Below are 15431 nucleotides of genomic sequence, written 5' to 3' on the forward strand. Positions count from 1 at the left end.
AGTACTATTACATAGAGTTAACAATACTTAAATGCTGATATGAAGTCAATAAATCTTATGTCAGCCGGGCGCTGTGGCTCACGCTTGTAATCCCATCATTTTGGAAGGCCAAGGTGGGCAGATCACCTGAGGTCAGGAGTTCAAGACCAGCCTGGCCAACATGGCGAAACCCCATCTCTACTAAAAATACAAAAATTAGCCGGGCGTGATGGTGCACCCCTGTAATCCCAGCTACTTGGGAGGCTGAAGCTGGAGAATTGCTTGAACCCAGGAGGTAGAGATTGCAGTGAGCTGAGATCGCACCACTGCACTCCAGCCTGGGTGACAGAGCAAAACTCCATCATTCATTCATACATACATACATACATACATACATACATACATAAATATATACATACATAAATCTTGTGTCACATGATAAAGGACAAAAAATAAAATGAGATTTTCTTAGTACAAGTGTATACATGCACAAACGTGTTTTTAACGAAGGAGGAAATACTCCTCAAGACAATTACAGTCCTGGTTTCTGCACCTGGTCACATGGTCGTAGCTGGTATTGATGACTACCTTCTTCTACTACCCATTCTGTATTCCCTTTGCCTTCAGCAAGCACCTCAGCAGGTTGTGGTTTTTTCCCGGTGGAGTGACCTAAACCTTCATTCCTAAAGAGTCTGAGCCATTTGTATCCTGTCTGGACTGGGCTGTTGTAGTTTCCCGTTAACTTGAATCACACGGCATGTGATCAAGTTGACACTCAGTATTAACCATCTGTCAGTGTCCATTCAAGTCCTGTGAGAACTGTCTGCCCAAGCACCTGTAGCATCATCGTCCACGTCCTGCTGCCCACTGACCTGTCCGGCTCCACACATGAAGGCAGATGTTTGAGGCCCCCACCAGCTCTCTCCTCAGTGACTAGTTCACATCATCCCTCCAGCCTCAAACCCCAAACTGAGACATATTCCCCAGTCCTCTCTCTCATCTTCCACACACAGTCTGCCTGCCAGTCCTGACCGTTCCCCGCTGTCAGCCACTTCGCATCTCCCACTTCTCCTCCTCTCCATCATTACCACTTTGTTCAAGCCACTGTCCCTGCTCCTGAACAGCTGCCATGGTCTTTTCATTGTCCTTCCTGCTTTCGTCATCCTTTCCAGCCTTCTCTCCACACAGCAGACAGAATGACCTCACGAGCAGTATCTTGTTCAGTCCTCACAACGACCCTGTGAGGTAGGTACTGTTGTCATGCCTGTTCTGCAAAATAGGAAAGTGAAGCACAAAAACATCAGGCGCCGTGTATCCGAGGCCAGAGAGCCACAGCTTCAGTGTGGACCTGAACTCTGAACCTCAGCAGTCTGCCTCTAGGACCCATACTGCTAACCATGATGTCACTTTGCTGTTGCATTTGAGACAGATCCAAACTCCCCGCCACGCCTCTACAGCCCTGTATGTTTTGCCCCCGTCTGCCTTTGACCTCATCTGTCTCTGCTCTCCCCTTACTCTGTGTGGCTTTTCTGTGCTTCTGCCTCAGGGGTTCTCAACCAGGGGCAATGCTGCCATTTGGAAATGAGGTGGGAGTGCTGCTAGTTACTATGGCAGGGTGAGGGGAGCTTTGTAATGACTGTGACTGAGGAGGGGCCACCACTGCATCTCATGTCCTGGGGTCCAGAGATGCTGACCATCTGGTGTAGGGGAGACAGTCCGACACCACAGAGTGTTGGCACCTCTGCATGGCTGGCTTCTCAGCTGAGCGGGCCTCTTCTCCAAAGAACTCCCTTCCCAACACACCCATCTGCAGTGCCCCCCCTCACCATCTGTACTGTGTCACTGCAAACTCCCTTCCCAACACACAGGTCTGCAGTGTCCCCTCACCATCTGTACTGTGTCACTGCAAACTCCCTTCCCAACACACCCGTCTGCAGTGCCCCCTCACCATCTGTACTGTGTCACTGCAAACTCCCTTCCCAACACACAGGTCTGTAGTGTCGCCTCACCATCTGTACTGTGTCACTGCAAACTCCCTTCCCAACACAGAGGTCTGCAGTGTCCCCTCACCATCTGTACTGTGTCACTGCAAACTCCCTTCCCAACACACAGGTCTGTAGTGTCGCCTCACCATCTGTACTGTGTCACTGCAAACTCCCTTCCCAACACAGAGGTCTGCAGTGTCCCCTCACCATCTGTACTGTGTCACTGCAAACTCCCTTCCCAACACAGAGGTCTGCAGTGTCCCCTCACCATCTGTACTGTGTCACTGCAAACTCCCTTCCCAACACACAGGTCTGTAGTGTCGCCTCACCATCTGTACTGTGTCACTGCAAACTCCCTTCCCAACACACCCGTCTGCAGTGCCCCCCTCACCATCGGTACTGTGTCACTGCAACTGGCACATGTTGGTTTGCTCGTTCATCTCCCCAGCGAGCCTGGCATGCGCCTTCCACTGCTGGAGTCCCTGTGCCCAGTAAAGTTCCTGGTGCATAGCAGGTACTCAAAGACTTTGAAAATGAAATAATTCTTTATCCTACCCTAACATGGCTAACATTTTGTCCAAGTGACTGAACATGTGGAATTAGGATTTTGGATCCTTCATGGATCAGAGAAGAGAGGCGGTTTTGCTCTGAAACAGTAAAACTCTGCATGTTTGTAACTCCACAGGAAAACACTGATGATTTATTATTTCTTCTTTGTATATAGATAGAGTATCTCACCCTTTTGGGGAAAAAAAAGTCTTTTTGATGTGTTGAAAATTGTTTTAATCTTAGGTGTCTTCTGTTTATGAAGCAAGATGTACAGGAGAGAGAGATTCTGGAGCAAAGTCAGATGGCTTCCGCGGAAAGATGTGCTCCAGCGCCAGCTCCACCTCGGAAGAGACAGGCTCAGAAGGCGGAGGCGAGTGGGTGGGCCCTAGTGAAGAGGAGCTCTTTTCTCGAACTCATCTCTAAACCTGCAAAATAGTACAAATTATTGTTTAAAAATGATATGTGATGGAAAATTACTCTTCAGTGAGACCTGTTAATCTAAAACAACAACTTAGGTTTCCTCTTCAATTAACTGATTCAGATTGGTAATAATTATCTTTCTCTTCTTGCTTATTTTAGAGTTGAGGACAGCTATCCTGTTAAAGATTTTTTTTCCCAGCTGTTAAATTCTTGGCTATTTGAAATAGACTAGATTGTGTTGTCAAATCAAGAATGGGTGTGCATGTGCTTGTCTTAGAAGTATCACTGCTTTTTGCATCTTAACTGCAGTTAATTTTCCTTCCGACTGCGGTTATATCACTATGACCTTACTAGCATTGCAGTGTCAACAACCACTTCTGCTCTTCAGAGACTTCAGCTTTGGAGCATTTAGGCTTTGTTCTCCAAGAACTGGGATATCCATTCTTACCCTACAGTGGCTTGATGCCTTTCTGAAGGCGAGAGGGAAGCCTGGGTGACTCAGCGGTGGTCTCCATTCAGCAAAATCTCATGTACATTTCCAGTAGGAACCGCAGAGGTGTGCTTTTCAAGACTCACCAAATACTGTGTTTTCTCTCTTAGGATTTCTTTTCCCCTAAAGTATCACGGAAGATACTATGGTTCGTGACTTTCTTGCTAACTGAAGAAGCCAAGGATTTGGGGTGTGGGGTCGTATGCGAGACACAGTGGGGTAAGGGTGCATACCCCACCCCTTACCTGCTCTCATACTGCAGTTACATTTACACCAAAACCCCATGCAGGGTTCTTTGTGGTGAGTGTTCCATACGTGCTAAGGACCTTAGTTACAGATTGTTACTTTCTGGTGACCTATGTTGAATTGAAACCCCCAAAACTTGAAATTGTGAACATTTGACATGCAGTAAAGGCCACCTCATCACCCAGAGAAATCTTTGGCTGCTGCAGCTAGCCGCTTCTTGGCTGTGATGTAGTATAGCTTCGATCTCATTTTGTGTTTGAGAGAATGTTCTGGGCAAGTTCTGTGTGTGGTGGGTTGGGGCGGGTAGAGTCATGAGTTTTCCACATCCCTGTGTGGTGGTTTTGCTGACTGTCGCTCCGTGGGACTGGCTCCCGTTTCTCCTTGGTGAGCCCGGGGAGCCGGCGCATCTTGTGAGTCGCGTCTGTGCATGGCGATCCGCTCCTCCGGCTCTCATGGCATTGTGCCACAGGCAGAGGCCAGGAGGAGCAGTATGTGCACAGCCGAAACATTTTACATTTTTTACATTGTTTTTCTTTTTTAACCAACTCATTGTTTAAAAAACAAAAACAAAAAAAACCTAATCTGTGAAATCAGCGTAGCATGCCTGGAGCATCAGGAATGGCAGAAAAGTCTGATGCGCTCTAGACAGCTTCACCACTCATTTGGGCAGGCAGTAAACACACATATAATTTATTAGCTGGGAGCTGAACTGGCTGTGAAATCTATGATTTGCTTTGAACATTTGGGTTTTGTTGCCTTTTTCTTAATTGATAACACAGAAAAGAAAGTACCATCAAAGACTGTGGAGTCATTGAGGGTCTGTGTGTCCTCACCGAGAGGGACCTGGTGTGCCCGCCGGGTCGATCTTCCCACGTGTTAGGGTTTATTTTTATACAACACATTTTTTGACACTTTAAGGTGGGTGGGTGTGTGTGTGTGTGTGTGTGTGCGCGCGTGCGCGCGCGCATGTGTAAGGTTTTATGTTGCTGTTATTTATTTACGAACTTCAGATACGTTTTTATGTATTTTTCATTCTTCTGGAGCTTCCTAAAAATTGATAAGCATCTGCACTGAAATATAATTTAACAGCAAAAGTAAAAAAGGATTGAAAGTTGTAAATTCCTCATATCACTACAGTGACGATTATTCTAGAAATCGTTGCTTGTGTAGCAAAGACCAAATAAATAGATTTCAGACACAACCTTGAGCACAGTTGATTTTGGACAGCTGCTGTTTATTAGGAAAGGGCTCCAGGTGGCAAAGGTGCACACTTCCTCAGACACAGGTGAGAAGATGCAGCACCTTCCACAGGTGAATGGGACGGATTCGAAGTGAGCAAAGGGATTCACAAATTATGTATTTATTTGTTTTCATAGTTAAGTAGCTGAAGCTCAGAGGCTTTCAGCAACAGAGATGAAAGTGTGGCTTTTTAGTTTTGTGAATGGATGATCACAAAGAAAAAGCATTTTTAAAAAGTTGGCAAACGCTGAAACGCACTGTGGTATGAAGCGCATTGCATTTCCATAGCACTGAAGTACCAGTTTCCATTCCTGGGCTGAGATTGTTTTTCCCGTGGTTGTATTGTTCTGATTTCACGTACACCAGAGTAACTGATTTTTTTTTGTTTGTTTTCTTGTGGAGTTAACACCAAATAAAAATTGTAAAAAACAGTTTGTTGTTTTTATTTCTCATAGCAAAGCTTCTTTTGTAAAGAACTCCAGCTTCCTTTTACTCATGAGCATCCGTGGAAGAGCAAGTGCCCAGGTTACATTTGTTCTAGATGGAGGTCATTTAGCTCTCATTGCAGACACTGCTGAAAACATTGTGCAGCTTTGCTAGGGAAGAAAGTGGTGTGGCCTGCTGAGAAATCAGCGGCTCCTCCCCATCTCACCCCCAGCACACGCAGGGACTACTACCTGAGTCTGCAAAACACATAGCATTTTTGTCCGTGGATGGTACACAAAGCTCAATCTTTTTGTTTTCTTCTGGGGAAAAAATTAAATCTTTATATGTTAATATGATTGATATTCATTGTGCAAAAAAAATCAGTGTGTTTTTAAAGAAGTATAAGGGAAAAGGAAAACTCATATGTCCTTCTGTCACTCTGAGACATACACTGGTAACATCTGTGCAAGCCCCTTTCCAGGATTCTGAATGTACAGTATATATGAATGCATACACAGAGAAATTTACATTCAAGAGTGTACTATACTTGTTCTTCTATAACATCAGAAATAGGTTTTTACTCAGATGTCTTCATGTCGGTAATTATAGAACTACATAATTATTTTTATAGCTGTATTATGTAGATTTAACAGGTTCCTCATTGATAAAACAATGTTTTTTTGGTTGTTTATTCAGTATCTGAATAACGTTTCTATGGACATCTGTAAACATGTATGAGGGGACTTTTAAAAGTTCATGGAAAATGGAATTAAAAGAAAAATAAAAAAATATAAACTTTATTTCTCAACATAAGTTCCATCAAGTTCAAGATACTACTATAAGACATAATACCAACCATTCAGTCTATCCCTAAAGAACTGAGGCTCCTGGAAATTTCACCTTGTCAGTGTAGTCTCTGCATTGTGAACTGAAGAGAAATGGGTGCCCTTTACAGCTTTTTAAGATTAGGAAACAAAAAGTCAGAAGAAGCCCAATCAGGACTGCAAAGTGGATGCCTGATGATTTCCCATCAAAACTCTTGGAAAATGGCTCTCGTTTGCTGAGAGGAATGAGCAGGAGGAGCACTGTCATGGTGGAAAAGGGCTCTGGTGAAACTTTCCTAGGCATTGTTCTGCCACAGCTTTGGCTAACTTTCTCAAAACACTCGTCATAAGCAGATGTTAACATTCTTTGGGCATCTGGAAAGTCAGCACATACACAGTGCTTTGAGCATCCCAGAAAATGGTTGCCTGGCCTCTGCTTTTGACCAGTCTGCATTTGCTATGAGGAGACCCCTCCCACCTCTCGGTAGCCAGTGCTGTGATCACAATCACATTGTCTTCAGGATTGTGCTGGTAAAGCCATGTTCCATCTCCTGTTACAGTTCTCAGAGGAAATGCTTTAGGATGTTGATTCCTCTTGTTGAAAGTTTCCCCTGAAAGCTCTGCTGCTGTCTCCAGCTGATCTGAGTGCAGTGGTTTGGTAGCCATTGAGTGGCAAGTTTGCTCAACGTTAATTTTTCAGTCAGATCGTGTAAGCTGAACCATCTGAGGTGTCTGTGGTGTTGGGTGTTGTTTCTGCTGTTAATCATTGGTCCTCTTTGATTCAGGCATGAATAAGATTAATTTTTTCCTCACAAATTGATGAGGAGGTCTTCACCATTGTCTCATCCCTTCTTAAAACAAGTTACCCATTGGCAAACCTCTGATTTTGGCTGGGGGCGGGGCATTGTCCCCATAAGCTTTTTTGTAAAAAAATCATTGATTTTGGGCCAGGTGTGGTGGCTCACGCTTGTATTCCTAGCACTTTGGGAGGCTGAGGTGGGTGGATCACGAGGTCAGGAGATCGAGACCATCCTGGCCAACATGGTGAAACCCTGTCTTTATTAAAAATACAAAAAAATTAGCCAGGCGTGGTGGCATGTGCCTGTAGTCCCAGCTACTCAGGAGGCTGAGGCAAGAGAATTGCTTGAACCTGAGAGGCGGAAGCTGCAGTGAGCCGAGATCACGCCACTGCACTCCAGCCTGGGCAACAGAGCGAGACTCTGTCTCAGGAAAAAAAAAAAAAAAAATCACTGATCTCACCATTCTTCCACCCAAGCATCACCATAAATTTGATGTCCTTGCTTCCATTTTTAGCAGAATTCATGTTGCTCTGATAGGTGCTCTTTTCAAACAGTCATACCCTTCTTAGTGCCTCAAAGTAGATCTTAAGACATGTTATAACAAGTTAGTACAAGTTTATTTTGGTGCAAAAAATTTTTGAAATCTGTGCATAGCTCCTTTTTGGAGACAGTCTCACTGTGTCACCTAGGCTGGAGTGCAGTGGCATGATCACTGTCATCTCAAACTCCTGGGCCTAGTGATCCTCCTGCCTCAGCCTCCCTAATAGCTGGGACTATAAGCACACCTCACCATGCCCAGCTCATTTTTTAATTTTTTGTAGGAACAGGGTTGCCCAGGCTGGTCTCAATTACTTGGCCTCAATCCATCCTCCTCACCTCAGCCTCCCAAAGTGCTGGGATTACAGGCCTGAGCCATTGCACCTGGCAATAGCACAGGCCCTAAAGGATGTAGTTGGCCCACCCCCCAACACCATTTTTAAAGTCCTTACCCCACCGATTTGCAGGAGTGCAGTGATGTCATCTCGGTTCACTGCAGCCTCCACCTCCCGGAGCTCAGGCAGTCCTCCCCTCTCGGGCCAGGAATTCTGACACCACAGCTAAGTATTTTTAGAACAGCCCGGGGTGGAGTGTAAAGGCTTCTGCCTTTTTCACTGAAAGTGCTCTGGCCACTGCCCTGTGTGCCTGCTGCTGCTGCCACTACAGATGCCACTCTGGCCATGAGTGGCTGTGGCAGTGCCCAGGAGGCCTGCATCTACCAGCAGTCCAGGAACAGAAAGGAAGCCCCTGCCCCTGGTTCCTCTTGAAAGCAGCCAGTCGGATGGCGTCACAAGCTGGCCACTGTTGTGAACGCAGAGATTAGGAAATGAGCTGTCGTTTCAGAGCCCGCTGCTAGCCTTGTGCCACTGGTGTGGTTAATTAATAGCATGTTCAGGGACGGTTGCCTCAATTATCAAGCTGGTAATGATGCTGCCACCTAACGTTTGGTTGGCGTTGCTATTGTCTGTGCTAGTCATAGTCAACAGCTGACACTGAGGGCTTACTGGCTGCCACGCATTCTAAGCGCTCTTGAGTGTTAACTAGCAACCCTATGAGGGAGCTACAGCTGCTCTGTTTTACAGATGAGTAAACTGAGGCACAATGGGGCATTAGGCACTTGCAGTCTCACACTTGGTGGATGCTGGAGCCCGAATTCACCTTGGGCACTGACTGCAGAGTCCATTTAACACTGAAACCTCCATCTCACAAAATCCCACTCATTAAGTTACGTATTGTCTCTGGGCACGGTGGCTCATGCCTGTTAACCCAGCACTTTGGGAGGCCAAGGTGGGCGGATCACCTGAGGTCAGGAGTTCCGAGACCAACCTGGCCAACATGGTGAAACCCCGTCTCTACTAAAACTACAAAAATTAGCCAGGCATAATGACAGGCGCCTGTAATCCCAGCTACTCCGGAGGCTGAGGCAGGAGAATCACTTGAACCCGGGAGGCAGAGGTTGTGGTGATCTGAGATCGCGCCACTGCACTCCAGCCTGGGTGACAGCAAGACTCCGTCTCAAAAAAAAAAGTTATGTATTGTCTGCGTACTTGCAGGGAGTCCTGCTGTGTCAGCCCCGGCTGTGTGTCCTTGGGCGAGTTACTCAGTCTCACACGTTGGTATCTTTAGATGTAAATGGAGATCATAACTGGACCTCTCTCCTAAGGGTTGGTTATAAACATAAAATAGTCCATCTGCATAAATACTAGAGTGCAAACTAAAAAGTACCTGAGACAGACCTCAATTAATTTAGAAGTGTATTTTGCCAAGACTCAGGACACACCTGAGAGAGAGAGGTCTGTGCCTTTCTCCAAAGATGATTTTGAGAGCTTCTGTATTTAAAGGGGAAAAGTGGGCTGGAGGGGGAAGGGGGAGGGTGTGGTCACACGACTGAATCCACAGGTTGCGAGAGAAAAGGAGCAGGTAGGGGAGTAGTCAATTAGGTATTTGACTTGTACGCACTAAATCCTCACTTTACGTAAGATACAGTGAACACAGAGTAGCTACCTGTGGAGATAGCTGGCCTTTTTGTTTTGTTTTGTTTTTTGGACAGGATCTCACGCTTACCCAGGATGGAGTGCAGTGGCGTGATCTCGATCTTGGCTCACTGCAGCCTCAGCCTCCCGAGTAGCTGGAACCACAGGTGTGCGCCACCACACCCAGCTAATTTTTGTATTTTTTGTAGACAGAGGTTTCACCATGCTGCCCAGGCTGGCCGTGAATTCTTGGGCTCAAGCAATGCTTCCACCTCGGCCTTTCAAAGTGCTGGGATTACAGTCGTGAAGCCACCGTGCCTGGCCTGTCTGGCCCTTTCGCTGTAGCTATCTGCTTAAGAACATAAGGAAACGCAGCTTCTTGCATGAGTCTATTCTCATCTTAAGTATTTCCTTTTAGCACAGTGAATTACGGTCCCACGTTTTTATTTTCCTTTCACACTGGACTCAAAAAAAGCAAAAACGGAAATGCAAAAGAGAAGTTGCAGCACTGAGTCCAGTAACTAAGGAGACAGTTGCCTCTTTGCAGGCGGTCTCTCACTCCCTGCCCTCCCCCCTGTGCTAGCAGAGCCCTTTAAGGGCCCTTGTTGGATCTGCAGCTCCAGGCCTGCCTAGTCAGCGGGGGTCAGCAGGGGTCAGCCCCACAGAGGCCATTCATCCTTGAGTGCTGACCACAGTGCTGTCACCATGATCTCGCCCTGAAGGGAGGTCACGCTATCCCTTCGACACAGGAGACCAACTCCTTTGGCTGTCCTTGGCTCCCAGTGGTGGCTGAACCAGAGGGCAGGGGCCAGGGCAGCAGCAGAGCCAAGTGTGCCCACTGGGGCCGAGGGCTCTGGCCACCACGTCCGTTGGGGAGGATGGTGGGGAGGGCCCTGGCCTTGCAGCGAGGGGGCAGGCACACGGTCTCCCACTTCCTATCACAGTCCAGGGGTGGGGAGGACCCCACCCTCTGGCCCTGTCACAGGTGGGGACAGTGACCCTCCCCTTCCAGGTGAGGCTACATTTTGAGGCTGAGGAGCACACGAAATGCTGGTCCTCAGCAGCGCTAAGGCCAGGAGCCCCTGATGTGTGAGTTTGTGTGGGGATGTTGCCCCTGAGGAGGGGTGATAGGAAGAGCCCCCTCCTCGTGAGCTGTGACCCTGAGCCAGTGGCTCTCTCAACTGTGAGATGGGGACCCTTCTCCCTCCCAGGGCTAGGGGAGGAGAACTGGCAGGCAAAGTGTCCGCTCATTTCCCTGAATAGAATACAGGCTCCCTCCTGAGGGTTTCTTGCCGTCCCCACGTGGTCCCTCCCAGCCCTCACAGTGGGCACCAGCAGTGCTGTCCCTCCTGCCCGGGGCCCTAGAGGGAGGAGGAAGACGTGAGTCCTGGGACTGGGCAGGGAGACAGGTCAGTCCCCGCTCCACGAGTTCCTGGAGCCCTCGGGTCTACCCTGCTCTGACCGAGCTGCTATGGGTAGAGCAGATCTACCTACGGCCCATCATCTCTGCGTCTTTCCCAGCAGTCTCAGGGTGTCTGTCACCGAGGCTGAGAACCCAAAGTTCTGGCCCAGGAGCACCCGGCAGAGGTGTGAGCCGGGGTCTGCCGATGGCTCATCTGATTCCCAAGTGCAGTGCTGCTTTCCCACTACCGTGGCCTCCACAAACCAGCGCTGTGCCCCCGCTACCGCCGCCACTCCCAGGGGGCCAAGTCCCACACCTTCAGACCCTCAAGACGGGAGCCGGAAGCCACCGCGGAACTAAAGTCTGGGAACCCCCCTTGGGGCGCTCAGGATTCACCCGCGCATGTGGCTGGGCACAGGCCTGTCCTCCAGGAGACTGCAGGCTGGGGACCCAAGGGTGACACCACAGGCTGCCCGCGCTTTGTGCGCAAAGCCAGGAGCGCTCTTCAGTGAAGTGGAGGCGGCACTGCGAGAACCCCGGACTGGGCGCTGCGACCGCAGACTCAAGGTCGCGGCGCCTCAGGGATCACTGGGGGCTTGAGTGAGCCCTGACCCTCTCCTGGGCCTTCCTATGCAGCGAGGGGCCGGACCCTGTGGTGCCTGAGGGCATTGTTTGTGGCTCTACTCTAGATCCGATTCCTGGTGATCACATATGTCAAACGTAACCACTTCGACCTCCCACAAACTGCCAGCTGCGAGCCCCTGATAACAGAAGTGGCCGCACTCGCCGGAGCTCCCTCCCTGGCCTGCCTGGCACACGCTGGTGGCTTTCCCCGGGCTCTCTGCTCAGGCCTTACCACCACCCTAGACTGAGGGACGGGGGAATTGCTCAGACAGACTAGGGACTCTGCGAGGGTGACAAAACGAACTTGCAGGTCCTGGCTGTTAGCTAGAGCATTGCACTGCATTCCTGCGGGTGGTCGCTGCCCCCATGCCCTCACTGATCTTAGTGCCACACCCCTCGCCTGGAGGTCCTGCTGCAGCCCTTGCTGCCCCATAAGACCTTACCAGGGATACGGGGTGAGCCCGGCCCCTCTCTGCCATGACGCACGGGTGTTCTGCAGACACCTCGAGGGAGCCTTTGCTGCTCACTTCCCTGCCTCTCCTTCCCCAGCCCCACCACCCACCTGCCGCTGCCTCTTCCCAAGCTGGGGAGGAAGTGGAGAACCTGGGCCTCTGAGTGACTGACTTCCTCCTACAGAACTCAATTCCTCCACCTGCAGACGGTTTCCCGCCTCTTCCCAGGGTTGGTGGCATCACCCACTGGAGCAGGAGGCCTCGTTTTCCTACTGACCTGTGCCCTGACCTTCCAGAGTCAACACAGTGGGAATGGAGACAGCTTGGGGTTGTTTGTGATATGGTTTGACTCTGTGTCCCCACCCAAATCTCATGTTGAATTGTGATCCCCAGCGTTGGATGTGGGGCCGGTGGGAGGTGATTGGGCCTTGGGGGTGGTCTCTAATGGTTTAGCACCATCCAGCACCCTAGTGCTGTTTTGTGATAGAGTTCTCAGGAGATCTGGTTGTTTGAAAGTGTGTAGCACCTCCCCCTTCACTGTCTCTCCTGCTGGCCATGTGAAGATGTACCTGCTTCCCCTTCACCTTCTGCCATGACTGTAAGTTTCCTGAGGCCTTCCCAGCCATGCTTCCCGTACAGCCTGCAGAACTGTGAGTCAATTAAGCCTCTTTTTTTTTTCATAAATTACCCAGTCTCAGTTATATCTTTATAGCAGTGTGAAATGGACTAATACAGGGTGTCTTCATGTTGGCATTAACCTGCTAATTAGGAAGAAAAAGAAGTCTCTGGGTCTTGGTCTCCCCAACTGCAAAATTTGTGGATGGGCCACTGCCATTTCAGAGAGGCCTCCCTCAGCAAGGACAGAGTGAAAGTTTGTGGGGTGGTTTCTGGGCTGGGGCACTGGGCCTGTCAACTGGTGGCATCCAGCGTTTATGGAACAAATGATGCTGGTACCCAGGGATGCCCTGGGACTCCTCCCACCTGGGGTGAAAGTCATTCAAACAATGAGGGGATGCCCCCCAAATTCAACAGAGTGCCACCCTGTATTAGGCCATTCTCACACTGCTACAAAAAAAATACCTGAGACTGGGTAATTTATAAAGAAAAAAAGGCTTAACTGGCTCATAGTTCCACAGGCTCTACAGGAAGCATGATGCCGGCATCTGCTCGGCTTTTGGGGAGGCCTCAGGAAGCTTCCAATCATGGCAGAAGGGGAAGGGGAAGCAGGCATGTCTTTTTTTTCGAGACAGAGTTTCGCTCTTGTCACCCAGGCTGGAGTACAGTGGCATGATCTCAGCTCACCGCAACCTCCGCCTCCTGGGTTCAAGCGATTCTTCTGCCTCAGCCTCCTGAGTAGCCGGAATTGCAGGCATGTGCCACCACGCCTGGCTAATTTTTGTATTTTTAGTAGAGATGGGGTTTCTCCATATTGGTCAGGCTGGTCTCAAACTCCCGACCTCAGGTGACCCGCCTGCCTCGGCCTCCCAAAGTGCTAGGATTACAGGCATGAGCCACCGTGCCCAGCCTAAAGCAGGCATGTCTTACGTGGCCGGAGCAGGAGGAAGTGGGGGCAGGGGATGTGCCACACACTTTTCAACAACCGGCTGGCACTAGAACTCACTATTGCAGAGATGGCACCAAGCCACGAGGGATCCACCTCCATGACCCAAACGCCTCCCATCAGGCCCCACCTGCAAGATTGGGGATTACAATTCAACAAGAGATTTGGGCAGGAACAAAATGTCCAAACTCTATCATAGTCCAAGGGTTGTGTTACTAAGGTTTACTTTCAGCTTGTTGACTAGGCAGCAAGGAGTTCCATGGCCCAGTTTGAAAGTATTTAGAAGAATGAGGTAGTCACCGTAGCCCCTCTCCAGGGTTAGGCCCCAAGCTGTTACATACAGGGTTTGGAAACTTTTATTCAATAACATATATCAAGGACCTACTACGTACTAGGCCCTAACCCTGATGCTGGTAATACATTTTATTTTTCTGAATCAGTCACCCTCCCTCAGCTCTAGTTCTCTGGCAATGATAGCATCACAACTTCCTCTTTAACCTCTCCTAGATAAACTCCAGAGGGCCTCCCCAGCCTGCCTGCTGCACCCTCTTTCTCCACTTTTCAGGAGTTTGAGGGATTTGGGCTGAAGCCCCACTCTCTGCATGAGAAGATGTGTCATTATCTTGCCCCCAAATTCCCCAGCCTGGTGGCCCCCCAGGAGCCTCATGAAGTCAGCAGGCCGCTCCCGGCTCTGTCCTGACCAGCAGCGTGGGGCAGGGTGGGCAAGGAGGGAGGCACAGTCAGGGTTTATACACTCAGGGTGCAGCCCTTCCTGCAGAATAAGTGACGCGTTTCATCTGGAGGAGACACAGAAGGGTCCGTTTCCACCCCATGACTCTGCAGATGCGCCACTGACAGTGTGTGGTTTCCTTCTTGGCAGCGTCCAGCTCTCCGGCAAGTGGCTGCAGATCAAAGAAAGCAGCGGAAACCTCTAGGGGACACAGCCTCCCAGGGACTGTGAAGCTGAACAGGGCGTGGCGGGAGGAGCCCTGGCTGACAGAAATGCACCCCCTCCCCTTTTCCAGGGTCAAGCCCCACTCCCAGCCCTGTGGGAGGAGGGAGCAGGAAGAACCCAGTGTGTGGCGCCAGAGTGCCTGGCTCGAAATTAATCCTGGTTCCCACTGTGTGGCCTTCGGCAGGTCATTCGCCCTCTGCAAGCCACCCTTTTCTCCTCTGTAAAACTGGAGTTTTAGCACCCGGGACTGAGGGGCCTGGCACACATGGGTGCTCCACAGGTGCCAGTTTCTTCCTCGGTGCCCCCTAAAATCAGCTGCTCAAGCCATACCAGAAGTATGGTCTATCAGAATGTGAACTTCAGTGTCACAGCTGGGTTTGGCTGGGATGGGTATGGCGATGTGGGAAGAAACGAGAATAGAGGGATGGCTGGGGCACCTTGAATGCTTCCTGGCGGCATCTGGATTTCACCCTGGAGGCAGCAGGGGGCACAAAAACGTTGTAAGCAGGGGCACCATTTGTGTCCTGGGCAAGCAGTGGTCTCCGAGGTGAGGGATTTCAGAATCTGCTGGTGCATTCTGGGTACCACGGCTCACACCTGTAATCCCAGCACTTTGGGAGGCTGAGGCAGGAAGATCGCTTGAGCCCGCAAGTTGGAGAGCAGCCTGGGCAACATGGCAAAATCCCATCTCTACAAAAAATACAAAAAAATTTAGCTGAGCACGGTGGCACATGCCTGTAGTCCCAGCTACTTGGGAGGCTGAGGTACGAGGATCACCTGAGCCCAGAAAGTCAAGGCTGCAGTGAGCCGTGACAGACTCTGCACCCCAGCCTGGGGGACAGAGTGAGACCCTGTCTCTAAATAAATAAAAACAAAAAAACAAATCATGATAAAAAAAAAATACTGCCTGTTGAACAGGTCTGGGAAAAAAAATCCACTGATGCATAGCAGAGAATCTGCTAGAAATTC

The 15431-nt window shown here is 49.7% G+C and overlaps 1 protein-coding gene across 24 annotated transcripts in view, besides 1 other annotated feature; it reads left to right on the plus strand.

Moving 5' to 3' along the window:
- The window catches only part of KIAA0232, a 101438-nt gene extending 95304 nt beyond the window's left edge, over positions 1–6134 (plus strand). For all 24 annotated transcript variants that reach the window (XM_047416450.1, XM_047416446.1, XM_047416453.1 and 21 more), the window contains one exon: positions 2757–6134. In XM_047416450.1, coding sequence (XP_047272406.1) covers positions 2757–2936 — 180 coding nt within the window. In that variant the 3' untranslated portion in view covers positions 2937–6134. The remainder of the gene's footprint in view (positions 1–2756) is intronic.
- Positions 14588–15144: an enhancer, noted in NCBI's record as "H3K4me1 hESC enhancer chr4:6894345-6894901 (GRCh37/hg19 assembly coordinates)". NCBI's record gives its function as "activates a minimal SCP1, AML or CMV promoter by ChIP-STARR-seq in naive H9 embryonic stem cells {active_cell/tissue: H9 hESC(naive)}" and the evidence as "EXISTENCE:reporter gene assay evidence [ECO:0000049][PMID:30033119]".

Source organism: Homo sapiens, chromosome 4, assembly GCF_000001405.40.
Source record: "Homo sapiens chromosome 4, GRCh38.p14 Primary Assembly".
Taxonomy (NCBI): Eukaryota; Metazoa; Chordata; class Mammalia; order Primates; family Hominidae; genus Homo; species Homo sapiens.